General features: G+C 35.9%; 1 protein-coding gene across 3 annotated transcripts in view; it reads left to right on the top strand.

The window, feature by feature from the left end:
- Positions 1-26,295, top strand: part of KCNH5 (potassium voltage-gated channel subfamily H member 5) — a 345,995-nt gene that overhangs the window by 183,105 nt on the left and 136,595 nt on the right. For all 3 annotated transcript variants that reach the window (NM_172375.3, NM_139318.5, XM_047431275.1), the window contains exon 8: positions 12,502-12,701. In NM_172375.3, the coding sequence (NP_758963.1) occupies positions 12,502-12,701 (200 nt within the window). The remainder of the gene's footprint in view (positions 1-12,501; positions 12,702-26,295) is intronic.

The following is a 26,295-nucleotide window of genomic DNA, read 5'->3' as shown; positions in this document are numbered from 1 at the left end:
TTATGAGAAGCTCCTGGCTATTCCATAGGGATCATTCTCAGGACCCCAAACTATTTAGGTTATTGGCAGTGCCGGCCACTTCAGTCTTTGTATCTCGGATCAATCTTACTGGTATTTTAATAAAATTTCAGTATTATTTTAAGTATTATCCTAATGCTTCCATATTTAAGTAAGCATAATAGTAACACTAACTTTATAGATAAATAGAAAAAGTGATGTAAGTTATATTCTGTATTTGTTGCTTCTTTTACATGCTGGTGCTTATGATTGGAGAAATGGCTTGCAGGTATCACCACGGAAAAGCAAAGATTCCTGGGTCATTTAAATGTGTTTCTAGTACAAAATAAACAGAGAAGAGCCATAAACAAAAGAAATTCAGTTTTTCATCATAGTAAGAGAGGACTTGTTGTATTTTCTTATTCCTTTTTTTTCTTCTGTAGCTGATAAAGCTAGACTTATAAATAGGTAAGGTAATCTTTGCATTTTATAAATTCAAGGTCATAGGAAAATCTCTGTATCGAAATAATGGATTGCTACATAGCTGAAGTCTTATCATTGTAGTTTTCTTATTTTGTGCTTTAAAGTTGTTTTTTAAAGATGCAATCAAAGAATTTACAAATATCCTGAAAGATACATCTCATGCTATTATCAATCATCAGATCAGATCATAATTATACCGTGTGTGTGTGTGTGTGTGTGTGTGTGTGTGTGTGTGTAAATGGAGATGGTGGGGGGAAATGTGCCTTTTCCTAACTTAACATAGGAAAAAAATAGAAACAAAATAGAAGCGACAAAGACATGTGTCATCAGCTACATAATTTGTGAAATATGTTATACTTTCAGTTGTTCCTTGAATCTATAAAAATAGCAGTTTTCCAGCCTGGGAACCATAGCAAGACCCTGTCTGTACAAAAAAATGAGCCAGGTGTGTTGGCACATATCTGTGATCCCAGCTACTCTGGAAGCTAAGGTGGGAGGATTGCTTGAGCCTGAGAGGTCAAGGCTGCAGTGAGCTGTGATTACGTCACTGCACTCCAGCCTGGGTGACAGAGTGAGAGACTCTGTCTCAAAAAAAAAAAAATCAATTTTTAGAGATAGAAAATAAAAGCAAACCAAAATTTCAGCGGCAAAATAAGTCAGTCCTACTATCTTTTCCAAGTTGGTGTTCTGCTCCTTGAGAACATAAAGTTGTGTGTTGGTGTTGACCCTTGTCCAGCTTTGCATCTTTTAACACAGACCTATCTGATTTCTCCTTAGTCATTTGTATTCAGCTGAAGTTTTAGTCTTTGTAACTATAGATTTTGAAAAATCATGTCACAAAAAAGGCTTCATTTTCCTTCTGGGAACCTCTGAGTGACTGTGCATCATCAGCAGTCTCTGGCTGTGTTTCTTGTAGAACCTCCCTCACTTTCTTTCTTCCTCTGCTTCTTTCCAAGCTGGGTTTAAAATTTCTGAGAAACATGGAGAAGTGACGAGTGTTCCAAGGTTGGCATAGATAGCATTGCACTCACTTGAGATTGTGGCTTAGTGCCTAAGACAGCTCCCCTCCAGAGAATCTTTTAGTGACTAAGTTAGCCTTTGTATTAGATGGGCAACTGCACCAACTAGGAGGGTGTGATGCCTTAAGCAATGGGGTAGGTCCTGTGAGAAGGGGGCTTAGAGTGATGGTAGCAAGTAAGAAGTTGGGAAAAGATGGGCACTAAGAGGTAGCTGGGGGCTTCTAAAGATAGCATAGAGTTTTACTCTCTGGTTGTCTATGGTGGCCTGACAGTTGTTACATTTAGGAACTATTGTTTGATCCATAATAAATGAGTCTGAAATGGTGAGTTCAGTATTCCCTGAACATCTACTATTATTCCTATTTCAGAGGGATTTTTCTATATTGCCCAGATAGTTTTTAATCAAAGTTACAAAAAAATCTGTAGCTGTGTAAGCAAGGCAAGTGTACTAATTTTATTAGAAGCTAAATGAGTTTTGCTGGATTAGAGAGAATAAAGAAAATGAATTTACTTAGTGACTGAGCAGATCCAATGGTGCTTGAGGTGTCAATGGTAGATAGGGATGCTGTTTGGAGCCTTTGGCAGGCCCCCATAGATGAATCACAGTGGAGGCCTCTAGGATTTTGGAGCAAGGCCCTGCCGTCTTCTGCAGATAACTACTCTCCTTTTGAGAGACAGCTCTTAGCCTGTTACTGGGCTTTGGTGGAAACTGAACATTTGACTATGGGTAATCAAGTCACTGTGCAACCTAAACTGTCTATCATGAACTGGGTGCTTTCTGACCTATCCAGTCATAAAGTGAGTCATGCACAGCAGCATTCTATCATCAAATGGAAGTGATATATATGTGATCCGACTCAAGCAAGTCTTGAAGGCATAAGTAAGTTACATGAAGAAGTGTCTCAAATGCCCATGGTCTCCATTCCTGCCACCCTGCCTTCTCTTCCCCAGCCTGCACCGGTGGCCTCATGGGGAGTTCCCTATGATCAGTTTACAGAGGAAGAGAAGACTAGGGCCTGATTCACAGATGGTTCTGCATGGTATGCAGGTATCACCCGAAAGTGGACAGCTGCAGCACTACAGCCCCTTTCTAGGACCTCCCTGAAGGACAGCAGTGAAGGGAAGTCTTCCCAGTGGGCAGAACTTCAAGCAGGCCACCTGGTTATGCACTTTGCATGGAAGGAGAAATGGCCAGATGCGCGATTATGTACTGATTCATGGGCTGTAGCCAGTGGTTTGGCTGGATGGTCAGGGACTTGAAAGAAGCATGTTTGGAAAATTGGTGACAAAGAAATTTGGGGAAGAGGTATGTGGATGGACTTTTTTGAGTGGTCAAAAACTGTGAAGATATTTGTAGCTCATGTGAGTGCTCACCAACAGGTGACCTCAGCAGGAGAAGACTTTAATAATCAAGTGGATAGGATGACTTGTTGTGTGGACACCCCTTGGCCTCTTTCCCCAGCCACCCCGTCATCGCCCATGAACAAAGTGGCCATGGTGGCAGGGATGGAGGTTATGCATGGGCTCAGCAACATGGACTTCCACTCACCAAGGCTGATCTGGCTATGGCCACTGCTGAGCGTCCAATTTGCCAGCAACAGAGACCAACACCGAGCCCTCGATATGGCACCATTACTCTGGGTAATCAGCCCGCTACCTGGTGGCAGGTTGATTATATTGGAACTCTTCCATCATGGAAAGGGCAGAGGTTTGTCCTCACTGGAATAGACACTTACTCCAGATATAGGTTTGCCTATCCTGCATGCAGTGCTTCTGCCAAAACTACCATCCATGGACTCATGGAATGCCTTATCCTCCATCATGGTATTCCATACAGCATTGCCTCTGACCAAGGCACTCACTTTACAGCTAAAGAAGTGTGGCAGTGGGCTCATGTTCATGGAATTCACTGGTCTTACCATGTTCCCCATCGTCCTGAGGCAGCTGGATGAATAGAATGGTGGAATGGTCTTTTGAAGTCAGAATTACAATGCCAATTAGGTGATAATACTTTGCAGGTCTTGGCCAGAGTTCTCCAGAAGGCCATGTATGCTCTGAATCAGCATCCGATATATGGTATTGTTTCTCCCATAGCCAAGATTCATGGGTCTAGTAATTAAGGGGTGGAAGTGGAAGTGGCACCATTCACCATCACCCCTAGGGATCCACTAGCAAAATTTTCACTTCCTGTTCCTGCGATATTACATTCTGCTGACCTAGAGGTCTTGGTTCCAGAGGGAGGAGCCAGGAGACACAACAAAGATTCCATTAAACTGGAAGTTAAGATTGCCACCTGGACACTTTGGGCTCTTCCTACCTTTAAGTCAACAGGCTAAGAAGGGAGATACAGTGTTGGCTTGGGTGATTGTCCCACACTTTCAAGATGAAATTAGTTTACTACTCCCTAGTGGAGGTAAGGAACAGTATGCATGGAATACAGGAGATCCATTAGGGCATCTCTTAGTATTACCATGCCCTGTGATTAAGGTCAATGGGAAACTACAACAACCCAATCCAGGCAGGACTACAAATGACTCAGACTCTTCAGGAATGAAGGTTTGGGTCACTCCACCAGGAAAAAACACGACCTGCTGAAGTGCTTGCTGAAGGCAAAAGGACTACAGAATGGGTAGTAGAAGGTAGTCATCAATACCAGCTACTGCCATCTGACCAGCTGCAGAAATGAGGGCTGTAATTGTCATCAGTATTTCCTCCTTTTGTGAAAAACGTGTTTGTGCATGTATATACTTGTACTAAGAAAATATCTTCATTTTATTTCCTTTTTTTTTTCTTTATCATGTTGACTTCATATCAGCATTTAAGTATTGTTAACTTTAATAGTATTTGGGTTGGGGATTGGTGTGTTTCTGGTTGTACAAAGGATAGTTGTATTATATTAGGTGTAATTATGACTTTATTATTGTCTTTATTTGAAGATTATGATCTCAGGAGATGTATATGGGTTCAAGTTGACAAGGAGTGGACTTGTGATGGGTAATAATGAGTGTCACCTTGATTAGATTGAAGGATGCAAAGTATTGATCCTGGGTATGTCTGTGAGGGTGTTGCCAAAGGAGTTTAACATTTGAGTCAGTGGACTGGGAAGGGTAGACCCACCCATAATCTGGGTGGGCACCATCTAATCAGCTGCCAGTGCAGCTAGAATATAAAACAGGCAGAAAAACATAAAAAGATTAGACTGGCCTAGCCTCCCAGCCTGCATCTTTCTCCCATGATGGATGCTTCCTGCCATTGAACATCAGACTCCAAGTTCTTCAGTTTTGGGACTCGGGTTGGCTCTTCTTGCTCCTCAGTTTGCAGATGGCCTATTGTGGGACCTTACGATCATGTGAGTTAACACTTAATAAACTTCCCTTTATATATTAAGATTAATATTAAGTGAAGATATATCCTATTAGTTCTGTCCCTCTAAAGAACACTGACTAATACACTTAGCTTAAAAGAGAATAACTATCATAGAAGGATAAAGTGGAGATCAAGCCATCTGAATACTTTGATTCTTTGTTTTTACTGTTATGTTAATTTCTTATAATTTTTTCAAGTAAACAATCTTCCCACATCTTTCCCTTCATTCCTCTTCCTCTCTCCATTTCTTCCGTCTTTGTTACATTAGTAATTGATTAATGCAGGTTTGTGATTAACTTTCTAAAGTTAAGTGGTTCTTTAGGGCATATAGGAAATAATATCAATAGTCATTGCCATGTAATTATTGGGGCTATTTTGACAAAGTCAGTTATGGTAATCACAGGATCAGCTCTAAGATAGGTGACATCTATCCAATATTATACTAAAATTTGGTAAGTTCCAAAAGTGATCCTGCTGTGTCCTAACTAATTCTACTAGTTGACAGTTCATTCAAATAGTGATTCAGTCAACTCACTGTATCACTTGGAATTTCCCTTTCCAAATTCCAGCATCTCTTAGAGGGAAAATGCGTCAAATAGTTTTCAGTATTTAACACTTAAAGTTATTGATGAGACCAGTTTCTAACAAAACAGTTGGCACAGCCCAGATACTAGATGGAATGGGGTGTAGATTAAGTGAAGATTGGAAAATAGAAATTGCCTGGCTCGTAGCAGATGCATAGAGGGTGCCTACATATATGGGTCACTGCAAAAGAGCATCCAGCGAAGCCAGGAGCCATTATGAGAGAGATGGAAGGAGAGCAACTTGGAAACTGGAAGTTTCTGAAGATGAGCTTCTCCACTTTGTGCTAAGGCCAACCGGAGCCATTTCAAATGTTTTAACAAGCTGTGTGCTACACAGATGATCACAGATTGCTGGAACATTTTCCTTCCACATCATAAATGTCATTATTAAAGGTGAACTTTAATGAATAGAAATAAAAGTAGAAAATGATGGTTGGATCACCTATGAGGCCTTAAGCGTTACTGCCAATGCATTATCATATCAATAGTTTAAACTGCTTAGCCTAAGGCCAATATCACTTGGCAAGATTTATAAAAGGAAGATAATTAGGAAAAGTTAGTACTGGTTATCATTATGGAGGGGCACAAAATATAATATCTAAGAAGGAAAAATTACTAATAAGGAGATGGAGAGATGCAGCTTGACCTAATGAGCAAACGAAATAACTGGACCACATTTTTTTAGAGACCTGAATATCACTATTTGATCTCTTATCATGAGCAATTTATAAGAGTGAAGGCCAGGTTACAGTTAATTAGCTTAACATGATTTTTCTTTGACTCTACAAATTGTTTAACCCCGAGAAATAAACTATATTGTTTATATGCTTAGATTGGCTATATGAATTTTTATAAACTATAAAAAGAGAAAGATTCATCTTCTTTCAAAGAATATAATTTGGGAGAATTAAGGATGAATAGTTTTCTATAGGGAGGAGTGGATACTACTGGAGGGTGGGGATTATGTCTGTCTTTTTTATCATTGTGTTCCCAGAGGTTGGTATAGTGGCTGGCATATAATAGGTGTCAAATAAATATCTACTAAATTCAGCAATGCTTGAATGAATAGTGATGTCTGTGATGAGTTATAACATTGTTCAATCTTCTGACCTGTCTCTTTTTGATAACATTGTGTATTCTTTCATGTCTTTAATGTTCATATTATAAAAAGGCATTTTTCCATTTTAAAATATAAAACTATATTACATATTAAAAATTGTTCTTCAGAGTATTCTCTTGGGCTGTGATGTGTGTCATAAAGGACTCACTACCCTCTTCCTCCAGGACCTCTGCCCAATTGAGAACCACTCTGTGTTATTAACGTTAAATTGATCATAGTTACATAACTAATCACATTTAGTGGCTTAAGAAAAGAATAATTATTTATTTTATTCATGAATCTACAATTTGCACAGGGCTATGAGGGTATGACTTATTTCAAGTTCATGTGGTATCAGCTAGGATGGCTTCAGTGGTCCTGAAAACTACTTAGTTGACTCAGCCACATGGCTGGTAGGCTGATGTTCTCAAGCTGTATCCTGCACATACAATCACAGACTGATGGAACATTTTGTTTTATTTCTTAAGTATCATTATTAAATATCATGAATATGAAAAGAAAAAACGGAATGGTCGAACCACCTACATAGTCGTAAGTGTTAACCAGAAATGTATACTCACATCAATATTGTAAATTGCTCAGCTATGGCCAGTGCTTAGCTGGGAGTTCAGCCAAAGCTATTGGCCAGGGGCCTTTATTCTTCTCTATGTGGGCCTCTCCAGAAAAATGCTCGGGCTTCCTCACAGCATGAAAACTAGATTCCAAGAGCAGGTGTTTCAATAGTGAGGAATTAGAAGTTTCTAGTTTTGTAAGGCCTCTGGGCCTAGACATTGGCACAAAATCATGGTCACAATATTCTAGTGGTCAAAGAGTCATAGGGTATGCCTACATTCAAGGGATCAGAATATAGACCTTGCCTCTCAATGGAAGAGTTCTCAAAGAATTTCTGACCCCTTCCATTGAGAGGCAAGGTCTATATTCCATCTTTTGTGTGTCATAATTATCTTCAAAATAATCCTTTTGTGGTGAATAAGAAAAATATAAGACTTTCTATGTAAGGCATTTGCTGGTATGTATGCCAGATTTACTAAGACCTTAAGTATGATTAGCTTGCACAATTAGCAGTTATCTGAAGTCTGTAAGTCTGCAGGAGAGCATATAAAAAGACCCTTATGAAATTGTCACAAATTAACCTAATTATTACTATTAACAGTAAAGTACATGGATTGACTATATGATACCTTCATTTAAAAGGTAAAATAATGTAAGGGGTCTCTATAAAACTGACAAAACTGGCCAGACCATGGGAATTCATGTTCAATGAATGACAATGGAACTTCCAATTTATTTTTACCTTAATATGGTTAGGACATGAATAACCTTAGCCTTTAAATGTTTCACTCCCCTACCTGCCTTAACAGTGTATATTCCTTCTGTATATTTATAACACTGGTAGTAAGATTTTGATATGAAAATAAAATGTTTCTGAAAAACTGTTTTTTAGTTTTTGGTGTGTGAATTTACAGGAAAAAAATATTTGAACACTTGCCATGTTCTAGGAACTGGTCTATATTGGGAAAATACAGCAGTGAGCCAAAAGGACCAGGCCCACACCTGCCCTCTTGGAATTTGCATTCCTAGGGGAAAAGATGGATAATAAATGAATAAATAAATAAATAAATAAGTAATGTAAGTTAAAGTAGTGATAAATTATGATAAAGCATAGTAAGGAGGTGGATAGTGATAGTGAGGGAAGAGGATGTTTAGACAGCATGGTCAGGGAAGGCCTCAGTGATGAATGAGGGTTGTTTTTTTTGTTTTTTTTGTTTTTTTTTTTTTTGACAGAGTCTCGCTCTGTCGCCCAGGCTGGAGTGCAGTGGTGCTATCTCGGCTCACTGCAACCTCCGCCTCCCGGGTTCAAGCGATTCTCCTGCCTCAGCCCCATAAGTAGCTGGGATATCAGGTGTGCACCACCATGCCCAGCTAATTTTTGTATTTTTAGTAGAGATGGGGTTTCACCATGTTGGTGAGGCTGGTATTGAACTCCTGACCTTGTGATCGCCTGCCTTGGCCTCCCAAAATGCTGAGATTACAGGCATGAGCCACTGCACCCAGCCGATGAGTCAGGTTTTGAGCAGAGACCTGAATGAGGAGCGGAAACAGACCAAGTGAGGATCATGGAGAAGAGTGTTCAAGGAACAGCTAGTAAAGGGGCTCTGAAGAATGAGTTAGTTTAGGTTGTTTGATCAGCATCAAGAAGATGTATACTGAAGCAGAGGGAATGAAGAGAAGACTGATAGGAGTGATGGCTAGTGGAAGAGGCAGTGCTATGATTATATGTGGCCAAGATTATATATATATATGATATATATATATATATATATATATGATTATTCTTTTTGTTTGGGAAATGATTTTGTGGTGATAATGATGCATAGCATTTCTGGATACCTAGTCGCTACTAGACTCTTTTTTTATACTTTTTTATATGCGTTATCTCATTTAGCGCAACCCTTTTGTGAAGATTCCAGTGTAATTTTAAAGTTCTAAGTGAGGACATAGAGGCCAACGGAGGTTTAGTAATTGGTCCAAAGACACGCACTCTTAGAGACTGCAAGGATGCTGGTAGAGGTAGTGAGAAGTGATTGAATTGAAGCTATACGTTGAAGGTAAAGCCAACAGGAATTGTTGATGGATCAGATATAGGAGATGAATCAAAGAATGGATTTAAGAATAACTTTGAGGTTTTTGATCTGAGCAACTAGGTATGGCTTTGCTGTTTGCAGAGGTGAAAAGTGCATTTGGCTGTTGGAGAGAGGGTGCTATAGACTGAGTTTCTTTTCGGATGTGTTAGATCCAAATAATGATTAGACATCCAAGAAGATAGGTATGTCTGTAATATGGGAGGGAGGTATTATTTTGAGAGTTAGCAGTTTAGAGGGAGCTTCTACTGAGATCAGTTTCCCTCATTATTGTGTGTCATGCTCCAAGGCCTCTCTCATTAAAGATGTGCCCATTTGTTCAGGCAGTGCTGTTGTTGCTTGCTGGAGTATCATACATGCTGTCACATTATCTCTTTTGAAATGTATTCCAGACTCAAGATTGAAGATATTCATAAGGAAGAAGTGATTTCTCTTTTTAAAAATATATGTAAATGACATGAATCTATATATGTGATAAAATTTTATAAAACTATACACCGAAGAAACAAGTGCATACGAAAAAAAGAAAAACTGGCCAAAAAAAAAAAGCTCTCTAGTTTGGTTAATTGTACTGTGCCATTATCAGTTTCCTGGTTTTGATATATTACTATAATTGTGTAGGATGTCATCCTTGCGAGAAGCTGCATGTGGGCAATGCAAGCTTTCTGCAGTATTTCTGCAACTTCTTTTGAGTCTAAAATTATTTCAAAATAAAATTACAAAAATGTAAACATACAATTGAATCTCTGACTTTAAATTATTATCTTGTTTAGTCTTATCTGATGTAGGGACCCTACATTCACATGAAAATGAGAAGCAGTGAGGGATAAAGAGCAGTTGGTTAATGGGTACAAAAATACAAGTAAGATCCAGGTTCAGTAGCACAATAGGGCAACTATGGGTAATAATAATTGATTGTAAATTGCATGAGAACTGGAAGAGTGGAACTGGAATGTTCCTAACACAAAGAAATGATAACCAATTACCCTGATTTGATCATTATACATTATATGCTTATATCAAGATATCATTGTACCTCATAAATATGTATAAGTATTATGTGTTCATAAAATAATGAAAGTGAAAAATGAACAAAATGGATATTTTTATAATAGGCCAAACTTAATGGGATGTTGATAATTCTTCACTTATTAGTGCTGCAGACTTTTAATACATTAGCAGGTTCTTCATATTTTATCTTAAACTTTTATATGAGCAGAATATATTTTGTGTGTACATTTAATGTACCCTAAAAGATGAAATGTGTCGTAATTTGTTAAACTAGAAGGCAGTAATAAGACATTTGGCAAATGTAGCATATCGCAAGCATCTTAGAGAGCCAAACAAGTTAAACATGTCAAAATAATAGATAGTTCTGTGACATTTATTGACAATTTATGATAGCTGAGCACTACTAAAAATCGTAATTGCAGCATTATTTCATTAACCCCTAAATACTCATTATTTTAAAAATTTAAAATTTTCTTATTTCTCTTTTCTGAAAATGTAAAATTCCATATTTGTTAGATGATTCTGCTATCATTAATTTGTTAACCTTATTTCTGTTTGTTTTTCTTAATAGCAACAATGGTGGAATAGAGATGTTAAGTCTGTGATTACCTTTAGGTTTTTTTTTTTTTTTTTAGGAAAGACCTCTATATCTTTTAATAAACTTCATAATTCTTTATAGAATCAAGATCTCAGGATACTATAACCAGAATCCTAGTAACCTCTTCATTTCAACATGGAAAACTGATACATTAAAGATAAACACATTTATTTTGAACTATTAAAATAAATATATGCACACAGGACGTTGAAAGACTGACAAAATGATAATTTTTTTGTTTTTAAATATGAATATTGAAAGGTATAAAGACTCACTTGGGAAATGTCAACACTGTATTCCTCCTACACAGGTCTAACAAAATCTGTCTTAAAAATCTGTCTTAAAAAATTGTCCTGCACTGGCATCAAATAATAGCAGAAAAACTGACTCCATTTTTTTAAAATAATAGCTTTCTGTTGTGAAATTGTAATTTGTTATACTCAGAGGAGAACAGCTCTTCTTGAAGAAAACAAATAATTTTCTAAAAGCAGTATATTAAAGATCTTAAGTTGCTTCACTAGCTTGATTTTATACCACTTCCATCAAATGGGATTTGGCTGATGAAACTGCAAAGTGAAACAGTCTATATTTTGTTTACAGTCATTTTTCAAATGCTTGGAGGATGTAGGATGGAAATTATCGTTGCCTGTGAGTCTACTTACTTGTGAAATGCTTATGAAATGCCTGTGTACTGAACATTAAGGTGAATAAAGTACTGCCCCCTTTTCAAAAAAGATTCCAGTTAACAAGAGAGTGAAACCAGAGGGGCAGGGAAGTTGCGGGTAGTGTGCTATTGAAGATTGGAAGTTTGTTCAGTTTAGGCTGAACTGTACCCTAAATAAGCTTTTGTAGGATCCTGTCAGCATTAATAGCCTGACTAGGTCTGGAGAAAGAAGAGTTGGTGAATTATGGATTGAGGAGGAGGGAGCAGTTGGGGCTTTGAAATACCCTATACCACCTGTAGTCCCCTGTAGATGAATGACAATTGTCAGTGGGCTAACTTTACATTTAATTAAAATGATGGAATAAAAAAAATCACTGGAATAATTACATGAATTTAATAACTGGAATTTCTCGGCATTGCCAAAGTTTTATTTTGGCTAAAAACTCCAAACCTCTTTATCTTCAGAACCTTCTAAACATGAAGCACATTAATTTGTCTCCACTCCCTAAATTTCTGATGTTCTGTCAAAAATATTTATAACCAGGGAGGTATTCCAAAAATTGGAAGGAGCAGGCAGTGAGAAAGAGCATATGTTTCTAAACTGGATCATCAATCCCTGAAGAATTTAAATTGATTAGGCTTCATTCAGGAGGACAAAGTGGAGGATAACTTTAATCTACTAACAAATAGAATTTCTTAGGCTAAATTATAACTTTGGATCATCTGATTCTTCAGAAAATTATAACTTTGGATCATCTGATTCTTCAGAAAAGATGACTCTTACATTTTGTCATGTTGACTAGAGCTCTGCATGCTCATAAAGTCATGTTTCTCCTACTGCAGGTAATGTTTTCTGAGTGAATACCAGGTGTCAGGCAGTCTTCTCAGAGTTCAACATGTATTTACCCCTGCAAGTTTATAAGGATGTCTCTGTCAAATTATTCATTGATTTAGCAAATATTTGTATTTTTTTCACATGAGATATTTGTTTTATTTTTATCATTTCTTCTCTTTCAGCTCTTCTTTATGCAACTATTTTTGGAAATGTTACAACAATTTTCCAGCAAATGTATGCCAACACCAACCGATACCATGAGATGCTGAATAATGTACGGGACTTCCTAAAACTCTATCAGGTCCCAAAAGGCCTTAGTGAGCGAGTCATGGATTATATTGTCTCAACATGGTCCATGTCAAAAGGCATTGATACAGAAAAGGTATGGGTTATTATTGTTATTATTTAGTTTCTATTTTAGTAGGATCTTCAGATGCATTAAGCTTTTCCAGTCACGTATTGCTTGTATAATTGCTTCGTAACTGTTATTCTGTATTTGTAAGTGACATATCAGTCAATCAGTCATATTTATTAAGTGCTTAGAAGGTGCAAAGCACTGAACCATTAATCATCAATTATTACCAGTCATCACATTCAATTTAGAAAATTCAGTTCGTGAAAATAACTCATTATTCTATTTCCCCAAAACAGTCTTATTACCTCTCACAGTAATTTGTTGCATTCCTCTAAAACTCAGAGTGCTGCCATTTTTCCTGCTAGAATTTATTCTTGATTTTCCCTTTGCCTTTTTTGCTCATTTAAAAATTAGAAAGAGACTTCCTGCCTATAAATTTAAAATGTATGTGTCTTCTATGCTGTCCTCCACCTAAATTTCTCCTGTCTCATATGTTTTATAAAGAACTTATAAGTCTTTATTTTCCACTTTACCTTACACACATCTATAAAATAGATATCTCCCTCTCCAATCATCTGGTATCTCTAATCTCTTCCTTGCCTTTTCATGGAGCTGATTTTAATTTTTCTCATGTATCTCATATTTGGGGCAAAGAAGAACTCAAGATCCTCCTTAAAATAAATAAAACCAAATTTTAAAAAATCCTCACTTCCTACACCCAGCTGATTCACATCAAATACAGAAGATGAAAAATAAAGCTTGTACACAGAGTTTTAGAGGAAACCAGTCTTGAGCTATTTTACTTTATAAACATCATTGGAGACTATTCTTTTTAGGTACTGATTTTTGACACGTGATAATTAGATGGCATAATACTTTCCTGGCCATTTCCCACAATTTTTTTTTTTGTTCTTTTAACCTTGTGAGGTTGACTTACGGTTTTTCTTTAAGACCTGCTCAAAAAGCATCTTTCAATGTCAAAGGGAAAAAGCAAATGAGCAAAGTAGATGTTTAGTTAGGAGAATTTCATGAAGCAACATGTAAGTAAGTTGTTTTAAGCCAGGGCAGGTGTTGTTAGGAATAGGTTGAGTGGAGGCATAGGGAATGGACGAGGAACTTAGGAGTTGAGGGAGAGAAGCCTTCAGAGGGAGTGCAGGTGAGATACTTGGGGGCAGCTATGTGGAGGAATTGTGAAAGGGGGTGAGATTTACTCCCTTTTCAATATTTTACAAGATACAGTATAAATTTTCCAGTTAAATGGCCCCTTGAAGTAGTACGCATGAAAACAGAAGGGAGAAAGCAAGCTACATTTCTATGGAATTTCATTAATGTATATCTGAGCCAATATATGGTTAGTAGAGAGAGTATCCAAAGAAGAAACAGAATCTTCCTTGGAGTGAAGGTGAGAGTAACAGAATTTAAGTCATCAAAAGCAGGGTGTCTGTTGAAGTCCACATTAAATGAAACAGATCAAGAGGCAACCACCGGCCTCGTCAATCACTATCTCAGCAAGAAGCTTTCCTTTCCAGAAAATGCAATAGAGCCACATGGTAACTAATAAAAATCAGTAAATGATGGAATAATGGCCTTTTACGTATTTGAAAAGAGTCTGAGCCAGGGCCTCTGGCACAAATCTAGTACAGGGCAGAGTTTTGAGTCCTTGCTCTCTATATTCTTGAATACTGAGTTATTCATGAATGGAGCCGAGTAGATTGTCTTCAAGCCTCCCCTTGAGGACATGCTTAACTGTCTGATTCAAGATGGAGTTAGGGTCTGATGCACTGGCATGCAGTGTGTCTCAAAGTGTGCATGCCATGTGGCAGGGAAAAATTTCTGGGTACCTACCATGGACTGCCTTAAATAATATTTTGTTTCCTTGTTCATTTGCAGTTAAAGAAAGGTACTTCTGATTAGCAAAGTAGCCAAGGAAAATGGAGTAATAGAACGAATATGGGGAGACTAATATTAAAAGTGAAATAAAAATTTAATTTCAATGAAAAGATTTTTTAAGGGGATATTTTAAGATATCAAAATTGATTAGCATTTGGATAAGAAAAAATCATGGATGTAGCTTTTAATTGAGTGAGGAATCCTTAAAGTTGTTTTTGACTAATAGGAGAAGCATATTTAAATAACTGTGACAAATATAAAAGTTTCCTTGTTCATATATGAAACATACTCTATGCCTGTATTGATTTATCCCAGTCTATTAAGAAAATCCCTACCCAGATGCATAAGTTCTAGGTTAACAGCACTGAAGGAAAGAGAAGGAAGGAAAGACATCTGCCAAATTCTGGGCTTAGAAAGGGGGTGTAGGGATTTCTAGTATTGCATCATCAAAGAGACTGAATTTAAAAATGATTCTTAGATTACACACCATATGCTATACTAAACAAGAGGAAAACAAAAACTGTCATTCAGCTCTCTGGTTTTGTAAAGAACCTGACAACTAGAGCAGAAGACTCCTATGCCTGTTAGGCATTCAGCTATTTAACAAATAAATTATATATATAATATATATATATAAAAAATATATAAAAATATTTAATTTTAAAATACAATAATAAAGATACAATACAGGGCCGGGCGCGGTGGCTCACGCCTGTAATCCCAGCACTTTGGGAGGCCGAGGTGGGCGGATCACGAGGTCAGGAGATTGAGACCATCCTGGCTAACACTGTGAAACTCTGTCTCTACTAAAAATAAAAAAAATTAGCCGGGCGTGCTGGCGGGCGCCTGTAGTCCCAGCTACTCGAGAGGCTGAGGCAGGAGAATGGTGTGAACCCGGGAGGCGGAGCTTGCAGTGAGCTGAGATGGCACCACTGCACTCCAGCCTGGGCCGCAGAGCCAGACTCTGTCTCCAAAAAAAAAAAAAAAAAAAAAAAAAAAAGATACAATACAATAATACAATACAATAATAAATAAAGACTTGAAGCATAGACAAAAGAATTAGTAATTAAAGAAAAGAGAGGGAATAGATATCTCAGAACTAGATTCCACTATAAATAAGGACTGAATATAAGTTAAAGAATGAATTGTAAAGATGGAATTGACATACTACTTAATATCATTATAAAATGAACTAAAAATCTAAGAAAATATTTATAAGGGTCTTCACTCATGACCTAACATAAATATCAGAAAAACTGAGAATTAAATGCAAAAAAACAAGAAACTGTAAACTATTAGAAGAAAATATGTGAATATATTTAATTTATCTTTGTACATATTAAAGTAATGGAATATATAACAAGGTAACTGACAAATAGATTTTGCTAAAAAGTGTAAAATCTTTCACACTAGAAAACTATGAAAATGAAAATGACATAAAGCATTTGCAACAAATTTTGCAAGTGAAAGGTTAATTACCTTAATATGTAAAGTGATTTATTAATTAATAAGAAGAGTTAGAATACTTGGGGAGAAAAACGATCTGAGGACATAAGTAATTTATGGAAGACAGAATGCAAATTACTAATAAGCATAAAAAAGGCTTATTTTCCCTTGGAACAAAGAGTTAAAACTTAAAAAAACAAACAAACAAAAAGACATAGAAACATTTTTAATATGGTAAATGGTCAAAGATGATGCCCAATCTTAGCAAAGGTTGGTGACTGGCATTATTGTATGATTCTGGGAGGTGTGTAAATTGGTAGCACATTTCTTGAAAGCAATTTGAATAAGATAATATTTTAAATTTGGTGGTATTTTAGAGTTCAGTCCTTGTGCCTCGTCCCTTTTCTGTCTGTATTCCATTCTTTCATGATATCCTGCAGTCTCATTACTTTAAACCAACACCACCCAGTGTTCATACTTCTCTTGAACTTGATTCCCTGAACTATAGACTCTCCCCTCCAACTGCCTACTCATGTCCAGTGAAGTTGTCCAAAACCAAACTTCCAATCATCTCCTAAAAACCTGTTTTACACACATTTTTTTCCCATTGAAATTAACGGAAACACTACCTTTCAGTTGCTTAAGACAAAATCTCCCACATTTAAACCTCTGCTGAATCCTTTTGGCTCTACCTCCGATTCTCACCACCTTCATTCACCTTCTATCACCTGGTCCACATCACCATCATGTCTTCCCTGGATTTTTCTAATACCAACTAACTGGCCGGTGCTTCCACCTTTGTCCCCTGTATAGTCTGTTCTCAAAAGAGCAGCGAGTGAGCACATATGGCTTTTGTAACAAAACTTTCTATGTATGTGTGTGTGTATCTACCTATCTATTTATGTTTATATCAATCATCAATTATCTATCTATGCCATAGACTTTTGATTATGAGTTAAATTGATTAAACCTGTTAAAATACAAGTGTAGGAAAAATAAAATGAAAGGTTGATGACAGTAATAATATAAATTCCTTAATTGCAGTCACCATCTTAGAATTATGTATGTACTTTTGGATGTAGCTTTAATAAACGGTATCTGAATTTTAACAATCACCCAGTATTTAATGTTCGAGACCTCTGTTAGACTTCCTGTTCCTCCATAAGCCAAATACATTTTATTACTTTATGTTTCTTATTTTATATTTTATTGATAATTTTTTTCAAATATTTTAAATAGAGGTTATCAAATTTAACTATGAATATATACTTTAAAAGGAAATATAATATATGAAGCCAAATGTCTTTGTTTTAATGCTTCTCTTCTCTGGTTAGTTTTAAAATAGCTGTATATTTTTTCAATTGCTTGTACAAAGAAATTTAATGATTCATTGAAGCTAATTAGAGAAAAAACCTTCGCCCCAATGACTGAGATTTCCTTCTATCATTTCCACATATTTAGTTTTATAGATTTTTGAATTCAGCTTTAACCCACAAGCAAATTAATCACTGTGATTTAATTCTGTCTTAATGTGACTTATGTGAATAATGCTTTCTCTAATATAATTGTGGCATTAAAATCTGTACTGATGTGGAGATTGCAGCATTTCTATCATGAAAGTTTGCTTTAGGCAATATTTTTTAATATAGAACAGTGCCTAGTTCAATTTTATTTAGTTGAAAATATGTTATTGACTGCTCATTAGTACGGTTGCTTTAGATTTTTTTTAAATTTAATAGCCAAATCCATCATCTGGGCTTTGCTGCTTGCTAATATTCTGTGTACATGAAGGAAGAAGAAATGGGTGGAATAAGTGAGGATTTAAAAGGGGAAGAGGAGATTATGGGAAAAAATAGAAAGGATGATGGTTGAAGCTCAACAAATTCGACCCCACAGTTTGAAATGACTTTGCTGGGAAATAATTCAAATGAAGTAAATGGCTGGGGACTTTATTTTCAGCTTTTTGGAACATGTGAAAAAATGTAAGACCTGTAAAACAATGTGTAGACCACATATTTCCCATCATACTGGATTTTTTTCAGCTTGTTGCATACAATGAAAGGTCTAAAACCTTACCTTTTGTATTTTCCAATATCTTACTTTTTTCTCTAACATGTAGCTTGAAAAAAATCAGAAAAAGCTCTTTAGTCTTCATTTTTGTTTCATATGTTTTATAATAAACATAAGGTATCAGTAGGAAGATGCTATTATATGAAATGTCCCAGCAGAATTACACAAAAAAATCAGGTAGGAGTATGCCTTTAGAATTTAAACAAATTGAAATTTTGAACGTTTTAAAATTTTTTATTATCTTTTAACCGAATCTATCAGAGAAGCACTCTGCTTTCAAATACAGTAGGCAATATATATATTTTTTACAAGTTAATTTCCTTTTGACAGTTTAATTTTGTATATTTTTTTAATTTGGGAAATGATGTTTAAATATTTCATCGTATTACTAGATATGAAAAATGGATTATATTTTCATACATGTCATCATTTTCTTGGTTCGATATTAAAATACTTCAAGAGGTTCCCGTGATGGTATATATCATAGTTGAAGCCAAGACCAAAGGCACTAGTCTTGTAAGAAAACTCCACCGACAAATGTGCTGTATTTAAAAGCCATGTAGGGGCCGGGCTCAGTGGCTCACGCCTGTAATCCCAGCACTTTGGGAGGCTGAGGCAGGCGGATCACGAGGTGAGGAGATCGAGACCATCCTGGCCAACATGGTGAAATCCCGTCTCTACTAAAAATACAAAAATTAGCTGGGCGTGGTGGTGCACGCCTGTAGTCCCAGCTACTCAGGAGGCTGAGGCAGGAGAATTGCTTGAACCCGGGAGGAGGAGGCTGCAGTGAGCTGAGATCACCCCACTGTACTCCAGCCTGGGCAACAGAGTGAGATACTGTCAAAAAAAAAAAAAAAAAAAAAGCCATGTAAATATATCCATGTGAATATAATAAAATAAAGCTGAATTGGTCTTAAGATGCACTAAAAGTAATCTAGCCTTTGAATCAAGAAAGATAATGATCATGCCAGTACAGCCCATTTTAATCAGATCATAGATTGTGTTTGGATATTGTGTTCAACTTCTGCTGGATATTTTAAAAGAAATGTCATCCTATAAAGCAGCACACTTACCAGGAGATAAGCATGATGGCACAAAGTTCTTGGAATTTTGTTATATGATGGGTAGTTAAAATAAATATGAATATTTAGTTTAGCTGAGAGAAGACTTGGGAGAGATATGACAGGTAAGTTGAAGTATTTGGCATTTTTAAAAATGGAATGATCTGTTTCAGGAGGAAATTCACAGTCTGCCAGTAAAAGATTTAGGCACATATGTAGAACATAGTACTAAATGAACTTGCAGGTCCTGACAGTAAGATTATATGATTGTGTCTGAATGATTTGGAGTACTATTATATATTACATCTCATTTACAATTTACATATATGTATTTAAGGGATTTTATATAAAAAGAATTATAGTATAAAAATCTGTAATAATTCACTAATTATTTTCCAACAACTTTTTATTAGGACAGCTAAGTACTGTAGTTTTACATATGACATGAAAGGGCTTTTCCAAGGTGATAGAACATATACTACCTTAAAAAATTAGGATTCAGAATGTCTAATAGAGGGGCTATGCCAGGCCAGTATGGGACAACTGTAGTAGTTTTCCCTGTGGTCTTTGAGTTACCTGCTTGTTGAGCAAGAGACGCTATTAAGAAACTATTATAAGAAACCAGCATATCATTGCAAGAAACTATTCTTCAGCTTATTATTTGAAAGCATTATGCAACAAATATATGAAAACTATAATTTTTCCATCAGTACCTAAACGTAATCAGAGAACTTAACTATTGTTACATCTACATGTGTTTCTCAGTTGTTACCTACTGAAATATTACAAAGTAAGCATTCAGAATTATTATTGACATTTTTCTTTTCTGACTGACCTACACATTTTATGTGAGAAAGTAGACTTTATTTGAAACCTCAGTTTTTTCGTTTCACGTATCACAAGTTAAGTAAAATAACAGCCAGTGGCTTATTGAAAACATTACAAGCAGATGAAAACTTTAAGCAATACTTTTTATAATAGTAATTTCGAACACTCAAACATATATATTAGTTTTCATGGCTTTTAGCGTAGTTTAAGAGGGTTCCATTGCAAGCTTTACATTATTGTCAGCTAATATAATTATTAGTAAACTTTTCATGTGTCAAATCTTAGGCTGTGTTATTTGATTCAAACCTATCTTTGGGGATAATATTAAGCACATTCTTTTCTTGTATCACGTTGAAATTTAGCGTAATAGTGTGGGCTAATTTATATTTCATTTTCTCATCACTCTGATACTAGCTTCTGAGGAAGGACCAAAGGAATCGTTTGATAGCCACAGTCCAGAAATGAGAAGGTAGGATTGTTTACAGAGGTCCATGGATAACTTGCTCAGTACCCTACTTCATCTAGACCATAAGCATCAGGTTCCACGCTTTTGTGTTCACATCTGTATTGGAGTTACCACCAGCCACATTTACTTAGTTGGCTGGGAGGTGAAAAATGCCCACATGGTGCTTGCGCAAGGTAGGCAATAATAAGAGGTAGCAGATAATTTAGTCTATTGCGGTTATAATACATTTCATCCTTTACAGGTTATAAACTACAGGCACTGTGTTATGCCTGGCACCATTTTAAATCTTAGTTTTTGCTTGGTATTCAGTGGGCACTGTTTTATTTAAGCATAGATGAAAATAGAACATCAATTGTGGAGTAATTTGGATGAATGACATATTTCTATATATATACACATTGTACAGAAATATACGTTAGACTTTGGGGAAAAATTAAACCATGAATACTTCCACATGCTGCAGACAGTGTTATAGTATGAGTAGGTGTTTGTATCCAACCTATTATTGTATTCTGAGCTGCCTTGATTGATCTGTTTTCAAACTTCCACTGCCGTAAATCTGCAGTAATGGCTATTGATACACTTATTTTTAAATGAGACCATAATGCTTCCGAGACTTTTTCAGTTTTTAAGGTAAAAGTAGAATTATGCAGATTTGAATTTTATAAACTAAACTTTTAAGAAACAGTGTTTCAATTTCTTTGATTTCTGTTGTTATTATTATTTGACTGCGTTTGTTATTTTTCATTTCTCATCCAGTGCTTTTTGTAGCTTTCTCCTCTCCACTCACTCTCCCATCTCTTTCTTGATTTTTTTTTAATGGTAATGACTAAAAGATGCCTGTCTTTTGGCTCAGGCTGATTGCTTTTGATTTTGTATTCATTTATATAATTTATATTCAGTACTGAAAATCCACTTTTAGTTCCTTTACTAGTAGTGCCAAATAACCATGGGCATCATTGTCTGGCACAGCAGAAGGCAGCAACAGGTTGTAGAAAAATATAGTGAATAGATTGAAATAAAAGGAAAAATTGTTATGTAAGAAAGAGATTCTGCAGGGTGTGGCAGCTCATGCCTGTAATCCTAGCACCTGGGGAGGTCAACGTGAGTGGATCATGAGGTCAGGAGCGAGACCATCCTGGACAACATGGTGAAACCCTGTCTCTACTAAAAATACAAAAATTAGCTGGATGTGGTGGCGCGTACTTGTAATCCAGCTACTTCGGAGGCTGAGACAGGAGAATCACTTGAACCCAGGAGGCAGAGTTTGCAGTGAGCCAAAATTGTGCCACTGCACTCCAGCCTGGCTACAGAGCAAGACTCCGTCTCAAAAAAAAAAAAAAAAAAAAAAAGAAAAAAAAGAAAAAAGAAAAACAAAACAAAACAAAACAAAAAACAGAAAAGAAAAAGAAAAAAGAAAGAGATGCATCTGGTTCATTGCCAGCTGCCTGGGGTGCTGCTCCATGTCCCCTCCTGGGCATGGGTCTGGAGTCAAGGAGAGGGCTGCATGGCTATGCAACCTGTTGGCTTCCTCTCAGCTTTGCTTTTTATGGTTCTTGACTTCTTTCTTAAGACCTTCAGGAGGCATTTTCTTCTTTTCTCATAATAGCAACCTTCCTTATTTCTCTATACCTTATACTTCCTTGAGGAAGTCTTTATGTCCCTAGTTTATACTGGGACATCTCTGAGAGATGGCATATATAAATTTAAGAAAGATCTATATAATGGGAGAATTTAAAAATATGGACATAGCCATTTTTAAAATTTGCATTCATATGGAAGGAAACTATGGTATTAGAGGGTTTTGTGGTCCTTGCTATAGAGTGATAAATAGAAATAAACATAATCCCTGCTCTTATGTTGTTCAGAGTCTGATGGGGGAGAAAAATCTTCAATAGTTACCCTGATAAACATATGATTTTATATTGTGATGATGCTTGAAATACAATACAGGAAGCCATGTCAGATTTTAAAAAAGGAGAGACTGCATTTAAGTTGTGAAGATGAGAGTCAAGGAAAGTAATAGAAAAAAACAATAGAATTTGGACGTGAAAGATTGTTAGAAGCTGAAACTTTTCACCTATTTTATAATAAAATTCAAATTACCTGTGTGCTAACAGTCAAATAACTGGTCTGAAGGTGGAAAACAAATGTAAGGAGGGAATTCAAATACCTAGTTAATCTATTAACTACTAATAACTCATTAAATAAATTAATAATATTAAATGGTCTGTGTGTTCCATGTAAATAATAGAATGATTTCCACTGAATAGTCATGATGGTTTAAAATATTACTCTAATACCAATAACAACACGTAAATTGATCCAGGAACATATTGGTACCCAAATATGATTGAACTAATCATCACATATTTGTTTAGAATAATGCTAAATAAATATGTGGGTCTGCTGCCTTTGAGGGCATTATCCACAGACTTAACCCATATGTATTGTGACAGCACAGATGGCACAGGGGAGTCTGCAGGGCAAATATCAGAATATATTCAGATCAGGGTATAGCTTTACTCCCACTACTACTTCTCTCAAGGATAAATAAATGTTAGAATATATTATTTATTATGAATAAGTGTTAATATTTATATAACCATTTTGTTTTCAAAAGTGCTTGTTTAGTTGAATACATGACTGTTACATAAAATTAGAAAAAAGAGCTAGAAAAAGAAAATATGATGTCACTCATAATGCTACGACTTACAGAAGTATATTGTGCCACATTTATCTGTATGATTTTGTAAACATCAATTTATGTTATAAGTATACAATATAATAACATTTGTAGTCTATTCTATGTCTGTATTACATCATCCACATATTATTGAATATTTAAGATGTCTAATGAGTACATTAAGATAAACACTGAGAATAAGGGGTGCCAAGTCCAAGGTTATGTACATTTTTTTGTTTTTATTATTTTTGTAGCTTATTTCTTCTAAAGTATCAAATGAGCTACAACCAACATTAATTTACATATGTCTTTTTTCAGAATAACATTGTCAGTACTAGGTATTAATTTTCTTTTAATCTTTGTGAATTCAGAAGGCCAATAATCTTAGCATGTTTAATGTTTACTCTTTCCAACACATGTATACTATAATTATTCCCATTTACTGATACAGACACTGGGCTGTAAGAGGTTAAATGACGTGGCTTAGATCACACACAGGGAAACTTGGATTTTGTACTATGTCTGCACTGTAAAGGCAATGTTCTTAGTCACTCTGCTGCTTGTTGAATATCAGTATCTGGTAGACAAGTGTCTCCTTATCACACCTTAATTATGGCTCTTTTCAATGTGTTTATTCTTCTAAATAAACTTTCCTTATCCTTCCCACTCATCTTCATACTACGCACCCCAGATAAATCCCATTAGCTTTTGACTGAAATTGTATTGTCCTAATCTCAGAGTTCAACCATTCAGCAGAGACCATCTGAAAACAAGTTCAGGTTGCTTAGATGGGGCATGATGGGCTTATGAGAAACAATTAGAGACCTTGGACCTAGATTATCTAATGCAGGGTTAGAGATTCCACTCCTAGAAACCAGCATGAAAACCAAAGGATTCCACAGTGTGAGTATGAATCAGAGGTAGTGCAGTTGGAATATGATGAATAAAATACTGCACCAGCAGTAGGGAGTCTCCTGTTCTAGTTAACATGTCTTCTAGGCTAGTTCCTGTATTCCGGCTGGATGACCAATCAGACTTAGTCTCAGAATATATATGCTTGATGATCTTTTCCAAGATTTTTAAGGTTGAAAATTAAATGCATGTTTCGAAAGAGTTAGTGAGAAATATTAGTGATTTTTGGTGCCAAGGAAGAAGTCAGAAGACATAATTTAAATCAGTAGTTTAATATTGTAACCCTTGTATCAAACTTCATCTTGATAATAAATGAGAAGTTAATGGGAAGCAGCCTGCCTAGGGAAAACCAGTCACTGTTAAATGAGAAACAACCCAGCCCAACTCCCAGTGTTACATCCACCTGTTTCAATTAAGATCCCTCTTGTCTAATAACACAATTTGAAATGTCAGTACATCCGTAGAGACTTCACTTGTTTAATCTGGTAGTTATTATTTGGTTTCAGAGTGCCTGGTAAAGTAGTAAAATCAACTGTCACATAATTTTACAATGTTTTTACTGATTCATATAATTTGATAAATCATAGAAGACAGTATGATCAGAAGTAGTTCATTTATTCAGCCATTCTCAATACACTTGAGTGCTGTCCTTCCATATAACAGGGAAGCAAACAAAACTCCAAACCTCAAACTTCAAATCATTTTTACTATTAAGGATTAATGCTTCATCATCATTTAAGTTTTCTGTTAGAGAAATTTTGATTTAATGATGGCTTATTTACTATGTAATAAAATATTTTATGCTTAGAGGAAAACATGGAAAATTGTAAAAGGAGGTAAAATTCTTTTATGCTGAAAGCTGAGGCCTGACCGGAAGTTTAACCAAGAATTCACAAATATTTAGGTAGATATTGATGTATGTGTTGATATTTACTTGAAAGATATACTTCCCCATTTCAGTATTTAATAGTAAATGTCCATTAAGCCCCTGCTTACATTCAAGACATTGTTCCAGTCTCTGGAATGACAGTGGTGGATATGAGGCAGTTCCTGCCACGCAGGACTCACAGTCTAGTAGGACTGAACAAGTACATTTTTACTTTCTTTGACCTCCTGGCACTATTTTGTGGTTACACAAAGAGACACTTGGCCTTCAGGTGTGGGCCACCTGGAAGAGTGCAGACCAAGAGTCAGAGGGTAAGGGAACACACATTTAGGGACTGTGCCCATCTCTAAGCACTTCTTAGTGTTATATATTCCTGAGTTCCTGTAATGATCACAAACATCCTATGTGGCAGGCGTTATAGTCTCCATTTAAACAATAAGGAGATTCTGAAAAATAAATAAATTATCCAAGATTATACACCTAATAAACGGTAGAGTCAAAGTTTGATTCTGATTTTTAGGATTCTGACTTCAAACTTTATGCCCTCTGCCCTAAATCACTCACCTACTCCATGCCCCGTATGTTCCAGGCAGTACATCAGGCACTGGAGATGCACCTGTGACCAAGATAGGCATGGTCCTTGCCCTCATGAAACTTACAATCTAGTAGAGGAGACAGATAAAAATAATTGCATAAATAATTAATATTTTTTCAATTCCCTAATAAAAATTAAAATGCTTATGCAGTTGTTAGTATTTTAGGTGAAAGAGGAGATTCTTTTATCCTTTTAACTTTGGTTTTCTTTCTTAACATAGAGAAGGATGGCTCTTGCCTGCATTGAGAATAGTGAGTAAATACACTATCCCTAAACATACTGTGCTTTGGGATATATTGAAATCTCTGAATCCTTACGAATATGTTATAATTAGAGTGATCTTTACTACTTTGCAAGTACTCTGAAGCCAAATAATAGCTATGATTGTAATTTTTGTTTTTGTTTTTATTAATTGGTAAGGGATATGTAATTTTACTGAACTGAATTGGTATAGTGACAACCAGGAACAATGAAACTTGGAATTTTAGTGAGCTTATGTTGCCTGACTTGGGATGAATATCAGATTAATACTAGGCTTTTCTAATATTTAAAAAATGTTATTGTACTTTTCTGGTATTGGTCTTAGGAAAACCTGCTTTCATTTGTACAGGTACATTTCAAAAATATATACAAATTTTATTTTCTGAAATTCCTTAAGCATATAAGTTCCCTTAAAAACTTATCACTTTAATGAATAGATTGCAGAGAATCATGGGATCTTAGTCAAGCCAAGAACCACACAGTACTCCTGTAAGAAAGCACCAAGTGAATATATTAATAA

The sequence above is a fragment of the Homo sapiens genome, chromosome 14 (genome assembly GCF_000001405.40).
Source record: "Homo sapiens chromosome 14, GRCh38.p14 Primary Assembly".
In the NCBI taxonomy this organism is placed as follows: domain Eukaryota; kingdom Metazoa; phylum Chordata; class Mammalia; order Primates; family Hominidae; genus Homo; species Homo sapiens.
Note: the sequence above shows the minus strand (reverse complement) of the source record. Positions and strands in the feature narration are given on the sequence as shown.